The sequence below is a fragment of the Homo sapiens genome, chromosome 16, assembly GCF_000001405.40.
Source record: "Homo sapiens chromosome 16, GRCh38.p14 Primary Assembly".
Lineage (NCBI taxonomy): Eukaryota > Metazoa > Chordata > Mammalia > Primates > Hominidae > Homo > Homo sapiens.
The window spans coordinates 605212-626830 of NC_000016.10; the positions used below are offsets into that span (position 1 = coordinate 605212).

Here is a 21619-nt window from a genome sequence, read left to right on the forward strand (position 1 = left end):
GAGACCTGATCTCAAAAGAGAAAACTGTTTGCTCAAGCAGCCCCATTGTTTCATAGTCCCATCAGCAATGCATGAGAGTTCCAGGTGCTCCACATCTTTGCCAACATTTGATGTTGTCAGCTTTCCGTCTTTTAATTAATCAGCTTTATTGAGGTGTAATTTGTGTACAAAAAAACCCCTTTAAAGTCTGCAATACAGTGAGTGCGGACAGGCATGCCGGCCTGAGAAAGCATCAGCCCTCGCAGCCTCGCCCTCTGCAGGCCTCTCACACTCTGCCCCCGGCCTGGCATGTCACTGTGGACTCATCTGCCTTGTCTAGTTTTCACGTCAATGGAGCCACACAGGGCAAACTCTCCTGTGTCCGGCTGCCTTCTTTCCATGTCTTCTGGGTGAGCTTCGGCCACGTGGTTGAGTGCAGTTGCTCCCTCCTTCCCCGCGCCGAGTGGTCTCCCGTGTGTCAAGGCTGCAGTGCATTGGCTCCACTCCAGATGGGCTTTGGGATGGTTTCCATGTTGGGTGACTCTCACAGGGCTCCTGTGAGGAGTCTCAGACGCGTTTGGTCAACACAGGTGCCCATTGCTGTTGGGACGTACTGAGGAGTGGAAGCTGGGCTGTAGGGCCTGTGTAGATGCTGCCAACCCGTTCTCCAAAGCAGTCACACAGTTTCTGTCCCACAGGAGAGAGGGAGAGTCCTGTTTGTTCTAAGTCCTGCCTTCCTTTTAGCCATGCTGATGGCTGCAAGCTTGTTTCTTTGTAATAGCCATAGAACATTTCTATTCTGTCAGTAACCATTCCCCAGTGGGTGGATTTTTAGTTTGGATTCAGTTTATTTATAATAAATACAGGGCCGCAATAGATGGCCTTTCTACTCCTTTTCTGTTATTGCTGACACATAGTCCTCTCGGTCCTCAGTCCAGTGTGGGTTTCCCTGGGCTGAAGTCAAGGTGTTGGCTGACACACAGTCCTCTCGGTCCTCAGTCCAGTGTGGGTTTCCCTGGGCTGAAGTCAAGGTGTTGGCTGACACACAGTCCTCTCGGTCCTCAGTCCAGTGTGGGTTTCCCTGGGCTGAAGTCAAGGTGTTGGCTGACACACAGTCCTCTCGGTCCTCAGTCCAGTGTGGGTTTCCCTGGGCTGAAGTCAAGGTGTTGGCTGACACGCAGTCCTCTCGGTCCTCAGTCCAGTGTGGGTTTCCCTGGGCTGAAGTCAAGGTGTTGGCTGACACGCAGTCCTCTCGGTCCTCAGTCCAGTGTGGGTTTCCCTGAGCTGAAGTCAAGGTGTTGGCTGACACACAGTCCTCTCGGTCCTCAGTCCAGTGTGGGTTTCCCTGGGCTGAAGTCAAGGTGTTGGCCAGGGCTTTGCTTTTTGCAGGCCCTACAGGAAGATGTTCTCTTGCTCGTTGGGAGGTTGGCAGAATTCCGTTCTTGCTGGTGGTAGGACTGGCAGTAGCACCTTGCTGGGTGCAAGCCGAGCCTTTCCCGGCTTCTCCAGGCCGCCTGCGTTGTTCACGGAGGGCCCTTGCCCATCTGCAGAGCCAGCACTGGCGGGTGAAGTCCCTCTCATGCTTTGACTCTCCTTCTGTCTCATCTGTAGCTCAGCCAGGAAAGGCGGTTAAGGACTTATGTAGTTAATTGGCCCCACCCAGATAATCCCGGATAATCTCCCACCTCGAGATCCGTGCACCTTAATCCTGTCTGCAGAGTCCCATGCTAGCAACTCAGCAGCAAACAGCCCCTGCACTGTGCCCTGCAGGAACATGGCTGCTGGTGGCAGGCCGGCCCAGACAGACAGACTACCACCTGAGCCAAGGAACCTCCACTCAGGTGGCCGAGGGTCCCACTTCCGAGCCGAGGGTGCTACGCAGGCTCAGCAGCCAGCCTCCCTCGGCTGCCTTACAGCAACTCTGCTGACAGTCCCTGGGCAGATTGGCCTCCATGGGCAGGGGCACAGGTGCCACGTCCACTCCCCAGACCACCAGCACGTTGATGACTGTTGAAAACAAAGTCGCCTGGGCACGGTGGCTCAACCCTGTCATCCCAGCGCTTTGGGAGGCCGAGGTGGGTGGATAACCTGAGGTCAGGAGTTTGAGACCAGCCTGGCCAACATGGTGAAACCCCATCTCTACTAAAAATACAAAAAAAAAAATTAGTTGGGCATGGTGGTGGGTGCCTGTAATCCCAGCTACTCGGGAGGCTGAGGCAGGAGAATCACTTGAACATGGGAGGTAGAGGTTGCAGTGAGCTGATATTGCGCCACCACACTCCGGCCTGGACAACGAGAGTGAAACTGTCTCAAAAAAAAAAAAAAACGGGGGGCCGGGCGCGGTGGCTCACGCCTGTAATCGCAGCACTTTGGGAGGCCTAGGCGGGCGGATCACAAGGTCAGGAGATGGAGACCACGGTGAAACCCCGTCTCTACCAAAAATACAAAAAATTAGGCAGGCGCGGTGGTGGGCGCCTGTAGTCCCAGCTACTCGGGAGGCTGAGGCAGGAGAATGGCATGAACCCAGAAGGCGGAGCTTGCAGTGAGCCGAGATCGCGCCACTGCACTCCAGCCTGGGCGACAGAGCAAGACTCCGTCTCAAAAACGAAAAGAAAAGAAAAGAAAGTCGCATCTGGTAAAGCAGACAAAAAAGAAAAAGAAAAGAAAACGAAGTCGCACCTAGTAAAGCAAACGCCTCAGTGACATTTTCAGACCCCTTCCTCCCCCTCCACTGCCCGTTTTCAGATTGATGCTGTGAGACCCCCTCTGAAGGGTGCCTGAGTCTGCAGCCAGGCAACGTGCTGTGCCCGTCCCCACCTCCCTCCACACGTTCCTGGGCAGCCTCCACGCCCATGTACTCACCTGTTCTCACGCTGCTAGGAAGAAATACCCCAGACTGGGTCATTTGTAAAGAAAAGAGGTTTAATTGACTCACAGTTCCGCATGGCTGCAGAGGCCTCAGGAAATTTACAGTCATGGCGGAAGGTACCTCACACAGGGCAGCTCCAGAGAGAATGAGTGCTGAGTGAAGGGGGAAGCCCCTCCTAAAACCATCAGGTGTCGGGAGAACTCACTCACCCGCACAAAAACAGCAGGGGGGAACCACCCCCATGATTTAATTATCTCCATCTGGCCCCGCCCTCAACCTGTGGGGATTAGTCAAGGTGAGATTTGGGCGGGGACACAGCCAAATCTTATCACTCCTGAGCCTGCTTAGCTCCCACCTCGTCCTCTGTCCTTTTTTGATCCTGAAGGGCTAGGTGCTGTGCCAAACCTGGGAGGCCCAGGATGCTGGCTTCAGGCTGCCAATCTGTGGCCCTCAGCGCCATCAGACCCAGGCCCCTTCTAGACAAATGGTTGTGGCATTCCCTTTACCATCCTGAAAAGAATGAAACTCGGCTGGCCATGGTGGCTCACGCCTGTAATCCCAGCACTTTAGGAGGCCGAGGCAGGCAGATCACTTGAGGTCAGGAGTTCAAGACAAGCCTAGCCAACATGGTGAAACCCCATCTCTACAAAAAATGCAAAAAAAATTAGCTGGGCATGGTGGCGGGCACCTGTAGTCCCCACTCCTTGGGAGGCAGAGGCACAAGAATCACTTGAACCCAGAAGGTGGAGGTTGCCATGAGCCAAGATTGTGCTACAATTGTGTGGCGGCTCATACCTGTCATCCCAGCACTTTGGGAGGTCAAGGTGGGCAGATTGCTTGAGCTCAGGAGCTCAAGACCAGCCTGGGCAACACAGCGAGACCCCTGACTGTACAAAAGATACAAAATTAGCCAGGTGTGGTGGTGCACACCTGTAGTCCCAGCTACTCAGGAGGCTGAGCTATGAGGAGCACGTGAGCCTAGGAGTTGGAGGCTGCAGTGAGCCTTGGCCTCACCACTGCACTCCAGCCTGGGTGACAGAACGAGACACCTTCTCAAAAAATAAAAATAAAAACGTGGACTGATAGGTGAGAGAGGTTTGATGGTTTGGGAACAGCGGTGCTGCCACGGCTGGGTGAGGGGCCATGCGATCTGCTTGGAATGCCATGTGAGGGGAAGGGGAGGTCAGGGCAGTGCCTGGTGTGGTTCCCAGCAGGGAGCACAGGAGGTTTATTCTCTGGGAAAATTGAGTCGTGGACAGCAGACACCACTGGGGATGGTGGGGGACAGGGTGGCAGGGGACAGGGTGGCCTGAGCAAGCCCCTCCTTGCCTGGGAACTCAGGGCCTCCTGATATGCAGATGGGAGCCCGTGGCAGGATGATGGCAGGATAACCGTCAGCCCAAAAGAAGCGGCCACGAGACGCCGCCGAGAGCCCCAACTTAGAAGCCAGAGTCACCAGCTTCCTGGCTAGGGTCTGTCCTTGAGGGTCACCAGAATGTGAGGAAAGACCCAGACAGGCAGGAAAAGAGCTCAGGGAAGGACATCTTACCATTGGCGTCATCAGAGATACCGCATCCACGAATGAAGAGCCAGACGCTGCCAGAGGGGAACGCTCAGAGCACCGGAAGGAGCTTTTAGAAATTATAAATAAGCAGCACATTTTAAAAAAGCCATAGAAGGGCTAGAAAAGAAAGTTGAGGACATCTCCCAGAAAATAGAACAAAAAGAGATTAAAAAACAACTGGGCAGTCCCTGCAGAGGTCACCCTGGCTGGCGCGGCTCAGGATGGAGGGCGGGAGCTGTGTGCCTGGAGGGGGGAGCTGAGGCACGTCAGGATGTGTCTCCAGACTGCAAGGGCCACAGAGTACGAAAAAGACCACCCAGAGCAATGTGGTCAAAGACCATGCCTTAAAAGGTTTTAGGAAACAGAATGGGTCCCACGGGAGGGTGGGGATGTGAACGGCACCAGCCTGGTGGCTCGGGTGCCAGGCCAGGGCCAGATGTAGCCTCATACCAGCCCAGCTGGGAGTCCGCTTGCTGAGACTTGGTCTCCTGTAGCTGGTGGGGAAGCGGCACCCTGTGCGGTAGACAGAACCAGCAGCCGAGGCGCCGGTGGCTTTGCTCTGGTGGCAGGACAGGTGTTCTGACCTCCCTGCCTCTGTCCCCTGAGGTCAGAGCGCCTGTCCTGTGGAGCGGCTCTGACCAGGACAGTGCCGTGTGTCTCATGGGGTTGTGTTCAGGTCGGCTGAGAGGCAGCGCCTGGCTGGGGCTAGATGAACAAGAGGGTTATTGGGAACAGTAAACCTGAGGTGGTGAGCAAGGCCTGTGGCACCCAGCAGATGAGGAGGAGAGCAGGGGGAAGGGTGGCAGGAGTTGCTGGTGCTGCGTGAGGCCTCAGTGGGCCTGCACGGAGCAGCTGACCTTCACTGGCGCCCTTGCCTTTTCACTGAGCCGGGTATTAGCTTAGCTTATTTTTGAAAAGACATTTCAACAGGAGGTAAAAATGAACAGCACACCAAGAGAATATGTCACAGCTGATGCCTAGGGACCCCCTTATGGGGTAGTGTTGAGCTCTGCAGCCGGAGCCCACTGCCCCTGCCCCTGCGCCGTCCCCCAGCGCGGGCTCCAGGCCTCTCCTGGGTCACTGCTCTGTGCCTCCAGGAGCTCCTCCCTCTACCCCGCCCTGCCCCACCCCGTCACCTGCTTGCCCTGACCCTGCCTGGATAATTGAGACCTTCCAGGCCAAGGGCCCCCTCCCCAGGATCCTGACACCTGTCCCTCTGAGAGTCCAGACCTTTTCCAGAGTGACATCCTGGGGCCCTGTGTGGTCAGAGGGCTCCATGTGGTCAGTGGCTGTGGCTTGCTGGGAACAAGACACTCGGCTGACTGTGCTTAGAGAACAGGCCGCTGTTTGTGTCTAAATGGTATCCATGGGGACGTTGTTTCATAGTCTTCTTACACTTTTCCTCTTCACTGTTGCTGAGAATCCTGTTCTGACGCGCACCGTGGGCAACCGGGTGCGGAGCCTGCAGGATGGGTGGGACGCAGACGTCCAGCGGGAGGAGCATCCCAGAGCAGCCTCTGATTCAAGAGCAAGGTGCTCTAGAGGCCCCGGCTCTGTGGGTGGGTGACGTGGTCCCCAGGCTTTTCCCGGCATCCCCGTTCCTTTTGCAGCAGCCATGGCTCCTGGTGGCCCTGGGCCATGGCGCCATCTAGGGGTGGCCTAGGGGAGTCCCCGGGCCATCAGCATCTGTCTTGTGGGTGTTGCTGGCGCCTGCCTGCTTGGCCACATTGGCACGTCGAGGTGACCGTCAAGGAGAAGCAGCTATGGCCTTTGTGGCAATCGTGGTGTCCAACTTTGGCCTCTCAGGTCAGCCTCATGGGGGCTTCAACAGCCAGGACCAAAATGACCAAGGCCCCTCCGTCCCTGTGTCCCTGCTTGACAGAACCACCGGAGGAGGGAGGTGCGGGAAGGGTGTTGACGGCCTGAGCGCGGTGCCTCCCTGAAGAGTGTTGTTTCACTTGTGAGTGTGCACGGGACAGCCGCCCTGGCCTGTAGAATCAAGAGCAGGGACAGCCGCCCTGGCCTGTAGAATCAAGAGCAGAGACAGCCGCCCTGGCCTGTAGAATCAAGAGCAGGGACAGCCGCCCTGGCCTGTAGAATCAAGAGCAGGGACAGCCGCCCTGGCCTGTAGATTCAAGAGCAGGGACAGCCGCCCTGGCCTGTAGAATCAAGAGCAAGGGACAGCCGCCTTCGCCTGTAGAATCAAGAGCAGGGACAGCCGCCCTGGCCTGTAGAATCAAGAGCACGGGACAGCCGCCCTGGCCTGTAGAATCAAGAGCACGGGACAGCCGCCCTGGCCTGTAGAATCAAGAGCAGGGACAGCCGCCCTGGCCTGTAGAATCAAGAGCAAGGGACAGCCGCCCTGGCCTGTAGAATCAAGAGCAAGGGACAGCCGCCTTTGCCTGTAGAATCAAGAGCAGGGACAGCCGCCCTGGCCTGTAGCATCAAGAGCAAGGGACAGCCGCCCTGGCCTGTAGAATCAAGAGCAGGGACAGCCGCCCTGGCCTGTAGAATCAAGAGCAGGGACAGCCGCCCTGGCCTGTAGAATCAAGAGCAGGGACAGCCGCCCTGGCCTGTAGAATCAAGAGCAGGGACAGCCGCCCTGGCCTGTAGAATCAAGAGCAGGGACAGCCGCCCTGGCCTGTAGAATCAAGAGCAGGGACAGCCGCCCTGGCCTGTAGAATCAAGAGCAGGGACAGCCGCCCTGGCCTGTAGAATCAAGAGCAGGGACAGCCGCCCTGGCCTGTAGATTCAAGAGCAGGGACAGCCGCCCTGGCCTGTAGAATCAAGAGCAAGGGACAGCCGCCTTCGCCTGTAGAATCAAGAGCAGGGACAGCCGCCCTGGCCTGTAGAATCAAGAGCACGGGACAGCCGCCCTGGCCTGTAGAATCAAGAGCACGGGACAGCCGCCCTGGCCTGTAGAATCAAGAGCACGGGACAGCCGCCCTGGCCTGTAGAATCAAGAGCAGGGACAGCCGCCCTGGCCTGTAGAATCAAGAGCAAGGGACAGCCGCCTTTGCCTGTAGAATCAAGAGCAGGGACAGCTGCCCTGGCCTGTAGCATCAAGAGCAAGGGACAGCCGCCCTGGCCTGTAGAATCAAGAGCAGGGACAGCCGCCCTGGCCTGTAGAATCAAGAGCAGGGACAGCCGCCCTGGCCTGTAGAATCAAGAGCAGGGACAGCCGCCCTGGCCTGTAGAATCAAGAGCAAGGGACAGCCGCCTTCGCCTGTAGAATCAAGAGCAGGGACAGCCGCCCTGGCCTGTAGAATCAAGAGCACGGGACAGCCGCCCTGGCCTGTAGAATCAAGAGCACGGGACAGCCGCCCTGGCCTGTAGAATCAAGAGCAGGGACAGCCGCCCTGGCCTGTAGAATCAAGAGCAAGGGACAGCCGCCTTTGCCTGTAGAATCAAGAGCAGGGACAGCCGCCCTGGCCTGTAGCATCAAGAGCAAGGGACAGCCGCCCTGGCCTGTAGAATCAAGAGCAAGGGACAGCCGCCCTGGCCTGTAGAATCAAGAGCAGGGACAGCCGCCCTGGCCTGTAGAATCAAGAGCAGGGACAGCCGCCCTCACCTGTAGAATCAGCAGGGACAGCCGCCCTGGCCTGTAGCATCAAGAGCAGGGACAGCCGCCCTGGCCTGTAGCATCAAGAGCAGGGACAGCTGCCCTTGCTTGTAGAATCAAGAGCAGGGACAGCCGCCCTCGCCTGTAGAATCAAGAGCAGGGGACAGCTGCCCTCGTCTTTAGATTGAAGAGCAGGGACTGCCGCCCTCGCCTGTAGAATCAAGAGCAGGACTGCCGCCCTGGCCGGTAGAATCAAGAGCACAGTGCAGCAGCACGCAGCACACTCAGCGGATGGAGGGCCTGGCTTCTGCACGCCGGCTGGCACTTGCTGCCAGTTGCCCTTTTCTGCGAGGCTGGATCGTGGTGCGGTGGTGGCTTGGATGGGTTTCTCTGCTGAACGATGATGTGGAATGCCTTTTCACTGCTTCTTGGTCGTCGGTTTTTCTTCTTTGGGGAAATGTCTATTCAAGTCCTTTGCCCTTTTTTTAAAGTATAATTTCCGTATTTTTTTCCCCAGAGGATAGTTTGTCTTTAGTCCTTAAGGACTCAGCTCCTTATGTGGGTCTTAGTGGGAGTCGTGGGCAACACCCAGGTCTAGACCCAGGTGGAATGCATGGTCTTGGGGCCTTGGTGGGGGTCGTGGGCAGCACCCAGGTCTAGACTTGGGTGACGTGCATAGCCCTGGACTTGAGGAGCAGGATTCCTGACTGGCTTGCTGTGAAGGGCACCACTGGGGCAGTGACGCAGCTTCACACGCAGCTCGGGAAGCACACAGTCGGCGCAGATGCTTCCAAAATGTCTGCAAGGCTGCGGCCTCTACTGCATCCAGATGGTGAACTGCCTAACTCTACCGCGTCCCGATGGTGAACTGCTAACTCTGCCGTATCCCGATGGTGAACTGCCGAACTCTACCGCATCCCGATGGTGAACTGCCAAACTCTACCGCATCCCGATGGTGAACTGCTAACTACCGCATCCCGATGGTGAACTGCCGAACTCTACCGCATCCCTATGGTGAACTGCTAACTCTGCCGCATCCCGATGGTGAACTGCCTAACTCTACCTCGTCCCGATGGTGAACTGCCTAACTCTACCACATCCCGATGGTGAACTGCTAACTCTGCCACATCCCGATGGTGAACTGCTAACTCTGCCGCATCCCGATGGTGAACTGCCAAACTTTACCTCGTCCCGATGGTGAACTGCCTAAACCTCGTCCCGATGGTGAACTGCCTAACTCTACCGCATCCCGATGGTGAACTGCCTAACTCTACCACATCCCGATGGTGAACTGCTAACTCTGCCGCATCCCGATGGTGAACTGCCAAACTTTACCTCGTCCCGATGGTGAACTGCCTAAACCTCGTCCCGATGGTGAACTGCCTAACTCTACCGCATCCCGATGGTGAACTGCCTAACTCTACCACATCCCGATGGTGAACTGCTAACTCTGCCGTATCCCGATGGTGAACTGCCAAACTTTACCTCGTCCCGATGGTGAACTGCCTAACTCTACCTCGTCCCAATGGTGAACTGCCTAACTCTACCACATCCTGATGGTGAACTGCTAACTCTGCCGCATCCCGACGGTGAACTGCCAAACTCTACCTCGTCCCGACGGTGAACTGCCAAACTCTACCTCGTCCCAGTGGTGAACTGCTAACTCAGCCGCATCCCGATGGTGAACTGCCAAACTTTACCTCGTCCCGATAGTGAACTGCCTAACTCTACCGCATCCTGATGAACTGCTTAATGGCGTTGTCCCTGGGTACACATTGGGTGCAGCTCCTGCAGTCATGGGCTGCTCACAGCCGTGGCCCTTTTGGCACAACCATTGTTCCTTCTTGTCTTGGAAACGAGGACCCGAGGGAGACCATCCGTCCATCCTAAAATTGGGACGTTTGGTTTTCTGTTGTTGAGTTGGAGTTATTTGTAGAGTCTAGAGATCAGTCTCTAGGAGACGTGTGATCTGCAGACATTTCCCTCCATCTCTGGGTTGCATTTTTCTGTCCATTGATGGTGTCCTTCGATGCATGAGAACAGCCTTTGATGTACATGTAGGGGTTGGTCAGGCAGAAGGACGGTGTGGGTGGAAGCGCTGATGCCTGAAGAAGGGCACCGTAGGCAGAGAGACCGCATGGCTGGCTTGCAGGGCTGGGCCCGCACGGAGAGACAGATGTGCACAGACACACACACAAGCCCACTGGGCAGGTGCACTCCGTGGGAGGGCGTCGCTTATGTTTAAAAAGTGCCCGTTTCCAAGCCCCTTGGAGAAAGTGTCATAAAAAGACAAAACGTGAATGGTGTTTCTAAGGTGGGGGAAGGGGCTGAGCCCTAAAGGTAGAAGCTTCTGGAAAGTTTCCAGAGGGCCCAGAGCCTGTTTAAGATGTCGTGCCTGCGTTAAGTGTCCAGAACTGTCTGCTCCTTTCAGTTTCTCTTGGACTGACCTTTTCCTATAAAACTGTAAGGAAATAAAAAGTAATGATGTGATGTGGGCCGGGCACGGTGGCTCACACCTGTAATCCCAGCACTTTGGGAGGCCAAGGCGGGCGAATCACCTGAGGTCAGGAATTTGTGACCAGCTTAGCCAACGTGGCAAAACCCCGTCTCTACTAAAATTATAAAAATTAGCCGGCTGTGGTGGTGGGCACCTGTAATCCCAGCTACTTGGGAGGCTGAGGCAGGAGAATCGCTTGAACCCGGGAGGTGGAGGTTGTAGTGACCCGAGATTGTGGCACTGCACTGCAGCCTGGGCGACAGAGTGAGACTCCATCTCAAAAAAGAAAAAAAGGCCGGGTGCAGTGGCTCACGCCTGTAATCCTAGCACTTTGGGAGGCTGAGGCGGGTGGATCATGAGGTCAGGAGATCGAGACCATCCTGGCTAACACGGTGAAACCCCACCTCTACTAAAAATACAAAAAATTATCCGGGCATGGTGGCGGGCGCCTGTAGTTCAGCTACTCAGCAGGCTGAGGCTAGATAATGGCGTGAACCCGGGAGACGGAGCTTGCAGTGAGCAGAGATCGCACCACTGCACTCCAGCCTGGGTGACTGAGCAAGACTCTGTCTCAAAAAAAAAAAAAAATACCAATGTGGCAGGCAGGCTGGTGGCTGTCTGAGGTCAGTCCAGAGTCCGGAGAAGCAGCATTTTATTTATTTATTTATTTATTTATTTATTTATTGAGTACTGTCACCCAGGCAGGAGTGCAGTGACATGATCTCGGCTCACTGCAACCTCCACCTCCCAGCTTCAAGTGATTCTCCTGCCTCAGCCTCCCGAGTAGCTGGGATTAAAGGTGCCCACCACCACACCTGGCTAATTTTTTGTATTTTTAGTAGAGACGGGGTTTCACTGTGTTGGTCAGGCTGCTCTCAAACTCCCGACCTCATGATCCGCCCGCCTCGGCCTCCCAAAGTGCTGGGATTACAGGCGTGAGCCACCGCGCCCGGCCAGAAGCAGCATTTTTAAACTTGTTTGGCCCTCCCTAACACCAACCTTGGCAGTTCCTGGGCTGCAGTAAGCCGAGACTTGGAAATACATTCGCCTTGGAGAATTCAACTTCAAAATGCATACGAAGTAGGTCAGGGTGGAAATAAAGGCACTGCCCTTTCTCCAGGCACGCTGGAGTCCACGCCCTGCCTTTGCCCAATGCCCTCTGAGGGAGAGGCCCTGTGCCTTGCACCCAGCGCGGGCCACAGGCGGAGGCCCCATTCCAGGCAAGCCGTGCCCATGGAGAGGCTGGCCTGCTAGGCTGTGGGGCCCGATGGCCTGACACTGTATGGACCACGCTCCTGCCCTGCCCTGCCCCGCCCTGCCCGTGGCCCGTGTGCAGAAGTGGGCAGGCCTGGGTTGCTGGGCCAGAGCCCCGAGATTTCCCCCTGCCCCACTGGCTGAGTGTGGGGGAGCTGCTTCTCCACTTCCGCGTGGGTCTTGGCCCTGGGAGGCCAGTGGCCGAGGCTGGTCTCGCGGGCGCTCGCTCCAGGAGTGGCGCGTCCCCTCAGCGCCCTGTGCTTCCTCGCAGGGATCGACTACAAGACCACCACCATCCTGCTGGACGGCCGGCGCGTGAAGCTGGAGCTCTGGTGAGTTGGGGCTGCGGCACTTCAGTTCCTGGGTGAGGACACAAATGCCGAAGGGAGAACAGAACCCTTAGAGAAACAGGAAGGCGTCCTGTTTGCATTTCACTTGGAAGAGCCACTTACACAGCCCCTGTTTAAACATAGAATGGATTTTACTCCAACAGGAAAAAGACAGTCTGGGACACTGTGTCCCTAGAGATCGCGGCTCCCCTCCTGCCCCGGAAAACCTGATTCCGTGGTGGCTGTGAGCCCCTTCCCTCCCCTTCTGTCGGCTTCACCTTAAAAAGCATTTCCCAGCGGGGTGTGGTGGCTCACGCCTGTCATCCCAGCACTTTGGGAGGCCGAGGCAGGAGGATCACCTGAGGTCAGGAGTCCAAGACAAGCCTGGCCAACATGGTGAAACGCCATCTCTACTAAAAATACAAAAATTAGCCAGGTGTGGTGGCGGGCGCCTGTAGTCCCAGCCACTCAGGAGGCTGAGGCAGTAGAATCACTTGAACCCGGGAGGCAGAAGTTGCAGTGAGCTGAGATTGCACCACTGCACTCCAGCCTGGGTGACAGAATGAGACTCCGTCTCAAAAAAGAAAAAAAAAAAAGCATTTCCCAGAACGTCAGCGTTGATGAGACGTGAATGTCCACAGGGTTGGGGTTCCCCAGCCTGGCAGGACAGTCTCCTGGAGCTCCCAGGCTCATGTGAGGAGCTTGCTCACTCCCCAGGTGGGCGGGGGCCCCTTCTGCTGCCTGCCTGGCTCAGCGGCACGGCGCCAGGCTGCTGTGACCTGTGCAGACAAAGCCGCTTAGCACAGCCTCATTGGCACCTGTCCTGGCCGCCCCGCTCCCCTCAGGACATCCAGGTGGGTCGGCAGAGGAGGGAAGGAGGTGAGCCTCTCACAGGGACCACAGTCCCGGCCCCTCCCCTCCCCGTATGTTTCAGGGACACGTCGGGCCAGGGCCGGTTCTGCACCATCTTCAGGTCCTACTCCAGGGGCGCTCAGGTAAGACCAGCACCGCTCTTTCCATTGCTTTTCAAAGGATGTTTCTCCTGATTCTTTCTGAATGTGAGTTGTTGTCCTGTCAAACTCCCAAGGACTTTCTTTCTTTATAAGGATATTCTCACATTGGTTTGTTTATTTGTTTGTTTTGAGACAGAGACTCACTCTGTCACCCAGGCTGGAGTACAGTGGCACAGTCTCGGCTCACTGCAGCCTCCCCCTCCCGGGTTCAAGCGATTCTCCTGCCTCAGCCTCCCCAGTAGCTGGGAGTACAGGCGCAGTGGGTGTACTTGGAGCTGTGTGTGTGCACAGGTGTAGTGGGTGCACTCAGGGCCATGTGTGTGTGCAGCCATGTGCACAGGTCTGGCGGGGGCACTGGGGCCATGTGTGCAGTGTGTGCGCAGGTGTGGTGTACTTGGAGCTGTGTGTGTGCACAGGTGTAGTGGGTGCACTCAGGGCCATGTGTGTGCAGGCATGTGCACAGGTCTGGCGGACGCACTGGGGCCATGTGTGCAGTGTGTGCAGGTGTGGTGTACTTGGAGCTGTGTGTGTGCACAGGTGTAGTGGGTGCACTCGGCCATGTGTATGTGCAGGCATGTGCACAGGTCTGGCGGGGGCACTGGGGCCATGTGTGCAGTGTGTGCTCAGGTGTGTACTTGGAGCTGTGTGTGTGCACAGGTGTAGTGGGTGCACTCAGGGCCATGTGTGTGCAGGCATTTGCACAGGTCTGGCGGACGCACTGGGGCCATGTGTGCAGTGTGTGCAGGTGTGGTGTACTTGGAGCTGTGTGTGTGCACAGGTGTAGTGGGTGCACTCGGCCATGTGTGTGTGCAGGCATGTGCACAGGTCTGGCGGGGGCACTGGGGCCATGTGTGCAGTGTGTGCTCAGGTGTGGTGTACTTGGAGCTGTGTGTGTGCACAGGTGTAGTGGGTGCACTCAGGGCCATGTGTGTGTGCAGGCATGTGCACAGGTCTGGCGGGGGCACTGGGGCCATGTGTGCAGTGTGTGTGCAGGTGTGGTGTACTTGGAGCTGTGTGTGTGCACAGGTGTAGTGGGTGCACTCAGGGCCATGTGTGTGTGCAGCCATGTGCACAGGTCTGGCGGGGGCACTGGGGCCATGTGTGCAGTGTGTGTGCAGGTATGGTGGGTGCGCTTGGCCACCCTCGTTTCTGTCTCCTCTGGGCCCCCAAGCACGCTTTTGTGCTGACTGGATCTGCTGGCGAATGTGAGGCCGGAAGGAGGGCAAGGACGTGAAGCCCATGTAAACAGACCTGTCATGGCCACTGTTGTTGCTGCTTCAGTGGGAGGGATTTGAGCGGGTCTGTCCTGTCTGTGATGCCCCTAAGAGTTCTGGAAGAGCCAGGAGAGCCCCTCCGGGGCCAGTTCGTGAGCCTGGAGCCCCCCATGTGGGCCCAGGGAGGCCGCCTGGGTCTGGGTCTGGATCCTTCTTGGGGGAAGGTTCAGGTCTGTGCCATGCAGCTTCTGGCTCAGGTGGGTCCGCTCTGGGCAGGAAGCTGCCCAGGTGCGAGGGGGATGGACACTGGAGCTTCGTCCCATGGCAAGCTCATTTCCTTCCATTTCTACACTGAAGTGTAGTCGGTGTTGGATCTGATGTCTTCTACCTGCTGGCGGTGGGTGGGAAGGACGCCAGGGCGGGCTGGGTCGCACCCTGTCCTGGGAGTTCCCTCGGAGATGTTGGCAGCTCCCTCATGGGAGCAGAAGGGCCTGCAGGCTCCGTGCCATCCCTGTGAGAACTGGAGCAACATGGCCGTGATTCGTGGAGCAGGCAGGTGGAAGACGGGCAGGCTCAAGGATGCATTCCATGGGCCCTGCCTGCTATTGAAAGAGGAGTTGGGGCTGGTGCGGTGGTTCACGCCTGTAATCCCAGCACTTTGGGAGGCCAAGGCAGACAGATCACGAGGTCAAGAGTTGGAGACCAACCTGACCAACATGGTGAAACCCCATCTCTACGAAAAATACAAAAATTAGCCGAGCATGGTGGCGGGCGCTTATAATCCCAGCTACTTAGGAGGCTGAGGCAGGAGAATCGCTTGAACCCAGGAGGTGGAGGTTGCAGTGAGCCGAGATTGTGCCATTGCACGCCAACCTGGGCGACGAGTGAAACTCCATCTCAAAAAAAAAGGAGGAGCTGTGTGGGTGATTTACATCTACAAAAATGCCTTCTTGTCTTCCTTTTGCTTTTAAGTATTTCGTGATTTTTCTGCAATAAACATATACTATTTTGGTATTAAAAAATATGGGGCGCAGTTATGTTGGATGACAATAAAGGGTTGTTGGGGAGATACTGGAAAAGGCAGCAGGGAGGCTGAACCTGACAGGCTCCACTGCGGGCATCCCAGCCCCCCCCGACGGGCTCCACCGCGGGCATCCCAGCCCCCCCCCGACGGGCTCCACCGCGGGCATCCCAGCCCCCCCCGATGGGCTCCACCGCGGGCATCCCAGCCCCCCGCCGACGGGCTCCACCGCGGGCATCCCAGCCCCCCGCCGACGGGCTCCACCGCGGGCATCCCAGCCCCCCGCCGACGGGCTCCACCGCGGGCATCCCAGCCACCCCCCCCGACGGGCTCCACCGCAGGCATCCCAGCTCCCACACAGGGAGGTCTGTGGGACACGAGGCCAGTACAGTCGTGATTTCTGTTCAGCTGCATGAGAACTAAAAAAGAAAAAAGCAGTTCATAAGCTCTGCATTTGCCAGGCTGAGGTCCTGGAAAGCAAGCTCTGTTATCATCTCCGTGTTCTTTCCAAAGCATCTGGCACAACTGGTTATGTCTTTGTTTTGTCTTGTTAACTCTGGAAATTCTGAGCTGTCATTTTCCACATGCGAGGAGCAGGTTACAGACCCAGGTGCACATGTTGGTCCTGGGTTGAGGGTGCCAGGTGCTTCCTTGCCCCGGGAGAAGCACCTGAGTCTCCAGGCGGGCCTCTGACCGCCGTGACTGAGCATTTGGGCCACCCCGGGAGCCCAGCCCTGTCCTGTGTCTCTCCTGCCTGGTGAGCAGCGGTGAGGTGCGGGTGCATCCAGCCGAGGTGCAGAGCCCAGGTTTGCAGCAGGGTTTCTCCCGCCGCCCCTGATGAGACACAGACTAGCAAGGACTGTCTGTCCCAGCCGGGATTTGTCACTCTGCCTCCCTCCGTTAGAGAGTGGAGAGGCCTGGAAGGTCCCCGCGGCCTGGGTCTTGCAGATGGCACCAGCAAAGGCCACCGGCCACTCCCCGCTGCCGTCACCTGTCACACAGCAGCAGTCCCGCGGCTCTTCCCGCGAGGCCCTTCACGTGCCGCCGAAGGCCGGGCTCCCTAGACTTCATGGTCGTGTTTGCATATTCTGTTGCTGTGATCTGAGACGGCCCCTCTCAGAAGCGGGTGCCACAACCCGCTGGTGGGATGAGTGGGTCACCCAGGTGCAGGTCCCTTGGTGTGTGGAGGGTGGGGTAGGCTCCTTGTAACTGCAGTGTGGCTGACGGGATGTGCCATCCTGTTTAGCTGAGAATTTGGGGTCAGCGGGCTTAGTGCCAGGAAGGCTGTGGCCAAGTGCCATGTCTGCTTCAGGACAAAGGTGTGGATTTGTTTCCCTGAGAGGGGGTTTATGTGGAGCGTGGTACGGGAGGCACACGTGCTGCTGGCTTGTCGGCACACAGGTGGGCGGGTGGATGTGAGTGGGCGCGGCTTGGCAGTAGCTCCCATTTTACATGTCAGTTGCTCCTGGGCAGAGCCTGGGTGCAGGGATGCAGGAGGAGGGCTTCACTCTCGCTGGCTGTACCTTGGGAGCTTCAGCCACATGGGTGGAAGGGGCATGTGTTTGTCAAAATTCATCAAAATGTTCAAACCTCGGATCTTTGTATTTTGTGCTTTGTAAGTTACAGCTCAGTAAAAAATGATAGCAAAAAGGACACCCACTCTTAGGCCCAGCAGTTCTACTTCTGGGAATTTATCGTGTAGGTCGAGTTGATCAAAAAAAGGTGTAAACGTGCTCAGATGCATATTGCCACCGTTACCCAAGAGCTGGCGCAGTACCAGTTCACGAGCAGGCGGGGGTGCTGGGCCTGAGCTCAGGGCGTGCGGGTGGGAGCAGCGCCAAGTGCCTCCACCCCCTTGACCCCGCCCGCGAGGCATGAGCGGCACCGTGGACACGTCTGTAGACGCTGAGGAAACTGACTGTCAGGGCGGCTCCTAGAGGGGCCTAGAGCAGGGCGAGCGCGCGTCCTGACTCATCCCCTAGAGCACTCGCTCGTTCTTTTGTTTTGTTTTTTGAGACACGGTCTGGCTCTGTCGCCAGGCTGGAGTGCCGTGGCGCGATCTCGGCTCACTGCAACCTCCGCCTCCCGGGTTCACGCCATTCTCCTGCCTCAGGCTCCCGAGTAGCTAGAACTAGGTGTGCACCACCGCGTCCAGCTAATTTTTGTATTTTTAGTAGAGACGGGGTTTCACCATGTTGGCCAGGATGGTCTCCATCTCTTGACCTCGTGATCCGCCTGCCTCGGCCTCCCAAAGTGCTGGGATCGCAGGCGTGAGCCACGGCGCCTGGCCGAAGTCGCTAGTTTTTTAAAAATCAGATCAGTTTTAGAAAACAGAAGGCAGTGGAAGAGTCTGTTTGTCCCGTGCTCTGCCCCTTGAGACACGCAGCTGAGGGTGCTTAGGGTGCCGTTCGTTAGGCGGCTGCTGGTCACCGAGAGTCTCCTTTTGGTTTCTCACTCCGTGGTCATTTGGGTCCCTGCGGCCTCACTGTGACCCACGCCGGAGCAAGCCTCCGGGTCCTCCTGTGCCATCGCCCCTGCCCGTAACCCCTACTCCTCAGACATGGCCATCCCAGGAAGTGGGGGCCCGCTCAGGGCAGCAGCCGGGAGGTGTGGCCAGGGCCCCCCGCGTCACAGCACACTTGGAGCCTGAGGCAGCCCATCAGCCGGGAGGCGGGCCTTCTGCTCTCTTTCTAGAGTTTTCAGTGTCATGCGAATAGGGGTGTTTGCCACAGAAAACAGGTCAGCATCAAAAGTTACCCCTCTCCAGCCTTTTAGCATTTGTTTTATGTCCATATAAACTTCTTCAGTGTAATGTGTTGTGTGTTCATACTTTTATTTTTTAAAAATCATGCTGGGCCGGGCGCGGTGGCTCACGCCTGTCATCCCAGCACTTTGGGAGGCCGAGGTGGGCAGATCGGGAGGTCAGGAGATCAAGACCATCCTGGCTAACACGGTGAAACCCTGTCTCTACTAAAAAAAAATACAAAAAAATTAGCCGGGCATGGTGGCGGGCGCCTGTAGTCCCAGCTACTCAGGAGACTGAGGCAGGAGAATGGCGTGAACCCGGAAGCGGAGATCGTGCGGCTGCACTCCAGCCTGGGCGACAGAGTGAGACTCCGTCTCAAAAAAAAAAAAAAAAGAAATCATGCTGGGCTGGGCACAGTGGCTCACACCTCTGATCCCAGCACTTTAGGAAGTTGAGGCAGGAGGATCACTTGAGGCCAGGGGTTCAAGACCAGCCTGGGCAACATAGCAAGATCCCATCTCTAAAAAATGTTTAAAAAAACTTAGCCAGATGTGGTGGTTCACACCTGTATTCCCAGCCACTCAGGAAGCTGAGGCTCAGAATATCAGGCTGCAGTGAGCCATGATCGTGCCACTGCATGAACCCCAGCCTGGCTGACAGAGTGAGACCCTGTTTCAAAAAAAAAGAAAATGCCATCCGCAGTGCTGGGACCTGCGTTCTTACCTCACCTGGGTTGCACATCTCTCCTTGGCCAGCATGCACGCTTTTACATGCACTGCTGCTGTCTTCAGCATCTGCACGGTACATTTCACTGCCGCTTACTCAGCTGTCCCCTGAGGCTGGACATTTAATTTGTGTCTGGCTTGTCGTTGTTATCAGCGCCACTGTGACACACATCCTCAGTTACTTCTGAGTTGTGGGCTTGCCATGCGGGAGGTTGCCATGCGGGAGGTTGCCACTAGGGAGAGTGGGCTGTGTTGTACGCTTTGGTGGCCCACTCCCCAGTCTCTCCACCTCCCCCAGCAGCAAATGAGCCAGCCCCAGTCCCTGTGCCCCAACCTCCAGGGTTAACCCCTGGGTGTGCATTTGTTTATTCTGAATCTTATCATTTATCGCCCACCAGACTGACTTGGCCATCTCTGGCCTCGAAGGGTCTCCCTCAGCGAGAGGTGTCCTTCCTGAGCTGTCGCTCCATCCTGAGCAAGGCCTTCGCCCTGGGAGCTTAGTAATGTCAACCTTGTTCTAAACAGGACCTGGGGCTACACTTCAGTCTTCCAGATATCGAAAGATGGTTCTAAGAGGCTCTAAAAACCCTAATTTTCAGATGGACAGTGCCCTCTTCTTTCAGCCTCAGCCTCTTGTGTGATAGGCTCTTCCATTACGTGAAGGTTTTGTCAGCCTAGGAGTAGGGTGGATCACAGCTCATTGGCTGGATCTGGTTGCAGAATTGTAGGGTGGGAGTGGACGTTGGGGAGAGGCGGGCATAGGGGAATGGGCCTGTGATGTCACCGTTTCGCCCGACAGGGCTCTGAGTGTGAGCAGTGTGCTCCCCTGTGCTGCTGGAGAGCCATGACTGTCACTGCCGAGATATTTAGGGCAGGTGGAAACAGCCCAGAGCTGAGCTCCAAGTAATTGGTCTCTAAGGGATGTGGCAAAAAGTCCCCGTGGCAAAACCTGCTCTGCCTGGCTGGGGGAGCTTCACAGAAACTGTCCTGGAGGGACTGGCATTCTGCTCTGCAAGTTTTAGGTTGGAAAACTCAGAAATGCCCCCACTCAGCTCTGTCCCAGGTACTCCCGGGGGGATTCACTGATGGACTGGCCGAGAGGACACTTAGCTTCCACAGCTGCACGTCCCCCGGCTGCCAGAACCCCGCATCTGCCTGCCCAGGAAACTTCCACAGGCTGATGGCTCCAGGGGAGGGAGGGGAAGCGGCATTTCTGACACCATGGAAGGCGCCCACCCCCCTGCTGCAGTCCTGCCAGGTGAGGGCAGGGGTGAGGGGCAGGGCTGCACCAGCTCTGCCTGGAGGGCATGGCTCATCTGCCCATCCGCCAAGTAATAAGCATCCTTGGCCCTGCCCGGGAACTGAGGCCCCTGCACCTGAGCGTCCCTGGGCCTGGGCTGGCCATGCGTGTCAGTGACCCCTGATGACCCCCAAGTCTCTGTTGCAGGGGATCCTCTTGGTGTATGACATCACCAACCGCTGGTCCTTTGACGGCATCGACCGCTGGATCAAGGAGATCGATGAGGTAGGCCTGGGTCCGGGGAGCCCTCCCGGGGAAGGCAGGCTGGATGGAGGTACCTGGGCCCCGGGTAGGCTCTGGATTCCCGCCTGCCGCCCCTCCTGTGGCCCCGGCTCTGCACCCTGCACTGTCCCACGGCCTACGCCTGGGCATGCTGGTCACTGTGCACACGACAGTCGGGCGTGGAGCCCAGCAAGACCAGGAGCTACGGGGCCACCCGGAAGGGCTGCACTGTAGGGCCTGAGCCCTGGGGTCTGCCCACCTTGACCTCCGCCCACCTTGACCTCCCACGGCCCTCACCCCATCATAGTCCAGACAATGAGGGCGGGCCCTGCTGCGGCTGAGGGGTGGGTGGCACCCTGCGTTTGTGCGTCTGCTGAGTTCTGTGCCCCCAGCATGCACCCGGAGTCCCCCGGATCTTGGTTGGAAACCGGCTGCACCTGGCCTTCAAGCGGCAGGTCCCGACGGAGCAGGCCCGCGCGTACGCAGAGAAGAACTGCATGACCTTCTTTGAGGTCAGCCCCCTGTGCAACTTCAACGTCATCGAGTCCTTCACGGAGCTATCCCGCATCGTGCTCATGCGGCACGGCATGGAGAAGATCTGGAGGCCCAACCGAGGTGGGTGGGCGGGCGCCGGCCAGCCCTGAGGTCCCCGAACCTGGGCTGCCCTGATCACATGGAGGCTGAGGGGGGCCAGGGGCCAGTGAGGGAGGTTCAGGCAGGTCCCTTGGCAACGCGCAGTAGGGGCTCGGCCGGCGGCAGGTCAGTGACTTGGTAAGAGCAGCCTCGGGGGAGAGGCGGCAGCACTGGGGGGCACAGGAGCAGCTGATGACCCCCCCTCAGGGTGCCGCCGTGGCCGCTGCACTCTGCCATGCCTGTGGGTCCCTGGCATTGCTGGTGTGGGCAGTGTGTGCTCGCTCCTTCCTGGTTCCGGGGCTGGTCCTGCTGTCAGGGGAGCACAGGAGCCGTGCCTGCAGCTTTGTGTTGTGTCATCTGCTCTTCCTGGGTAGCCACATCCTTGATCAGAGGCTCCCGTGAAGCCCCCCTCAGGGAGGTGGTACTGTTGATTTTGTGGTGCCTCCCAGCAGGGTTCACTGCTGAACAGAGAGAGGGTGGCTGACGGTGTCACTGTCCTTCTTAAGAGGAAGCACGGGCCTGGCACGGTGGCTCACTCCTGTAATCCCAGCACTTTGGGAGGCCACAGCAGGTGGATCACCTGAGGTCAGGACTTCGAGACCAGCCTGGCCAACACGGTGAAACCCCGTCTCTACTAAAAATACAAAAATTAACCGGGCGTGGTGACGCACACCTGTAGTCCCAGCTATTC

At 57.4% G+C, this 21619-nt stretch overlaps 1 protein-coding gene and 1 long non-coding RNA gene across 6 annotated transcripts in view, besides 3 other annotated features; one reads left to right on the forward strand and one right to left on the reverse strand.

Annotated features, from left to right (window-relative positions):
• Positions 1–21619, forward strand: part of RAB40C (RAB40C, member RAS oncogene family) — a 39912-nt gene that overhangs the window by 15855 nt on the left and 2438 nt on the right. For 4 of the 5 annotated variants that reach the window (NM_001172663.2, NM_001172664.2, NM_021168.5 and 1 more), the window contains 4 exons: positions 11997–12057; positions 12989–13049; positions 20221–20298; positions 20688–20910. In NM_001172663.2, the coding sequence (NP_001166134.1) occupies positions 11997–12057; positions 12989–13049; positions 20221–20298; positions 20688–20910 (423 nt within the window). The remainder of the gene's footprint in view (positions 1–11996; positions 12058–12988; positions 13050–20220; positions 20299–20687; positions 20911–21619) is intronic. The other variant, NM_001172666.2, reaches the window with a different exon arrangement.
• On the reverse strand, positions 122–11053 carry LOC124903618 (uncharacterized). The gene is made up of 2 exons (XR_007064934.1): positions 5643–11053; positions 122–4479 (listed from the first exon to the last, which is right to left on the reverse strand). It is a non-coding gene; the product is annotated as an uncharacterized LOC124903618 (long non-coding RNA).
• Positions 2830–2909: a silencer, noted in NCBI's record as "silent region_6927". NCBI's record gives its function as "represses an Ori minimal core promoter by ATAC-STARR-seq in GM12878 lymphoblastoid cells {active_cell/tissue: GM12878}" and the evidence as "EXISTENCE:reporter gene assay evidence [ECO:0000049][PMID:35858748]".
• Positions 6056–6185: an enhancer, noted in NCBI's record as "active region_10208". NCBI's record gives its function as "activates an Ori minimal core promoter by ATAC-STARR-seq in GM12878 lymphoblastoid cells {active_cell/tissue: GM12878}" and the evidence as "EXISTENCE:reporter gene assay evidence [ECO:0000049][PMID:35858748]".
• Positions 16490–17243: an enhancer, noted in NCBI's record as "H3K27ac-H3K4me1 hESC enhancer chr16:671701-672454 (GRCh37/hg19 assembly coordinates)". NCBI's record gives its function as "activates a minimal SCP1, AML or CMV promoter by ChIP-STARR-seq in primed H9 embryonic stem cells {active_cell/tissue: H9 hESC(primed)}" and the evidence as "EXISTENCE:reporter gene assay evidence [ECO:0000049][PMID:30033119]".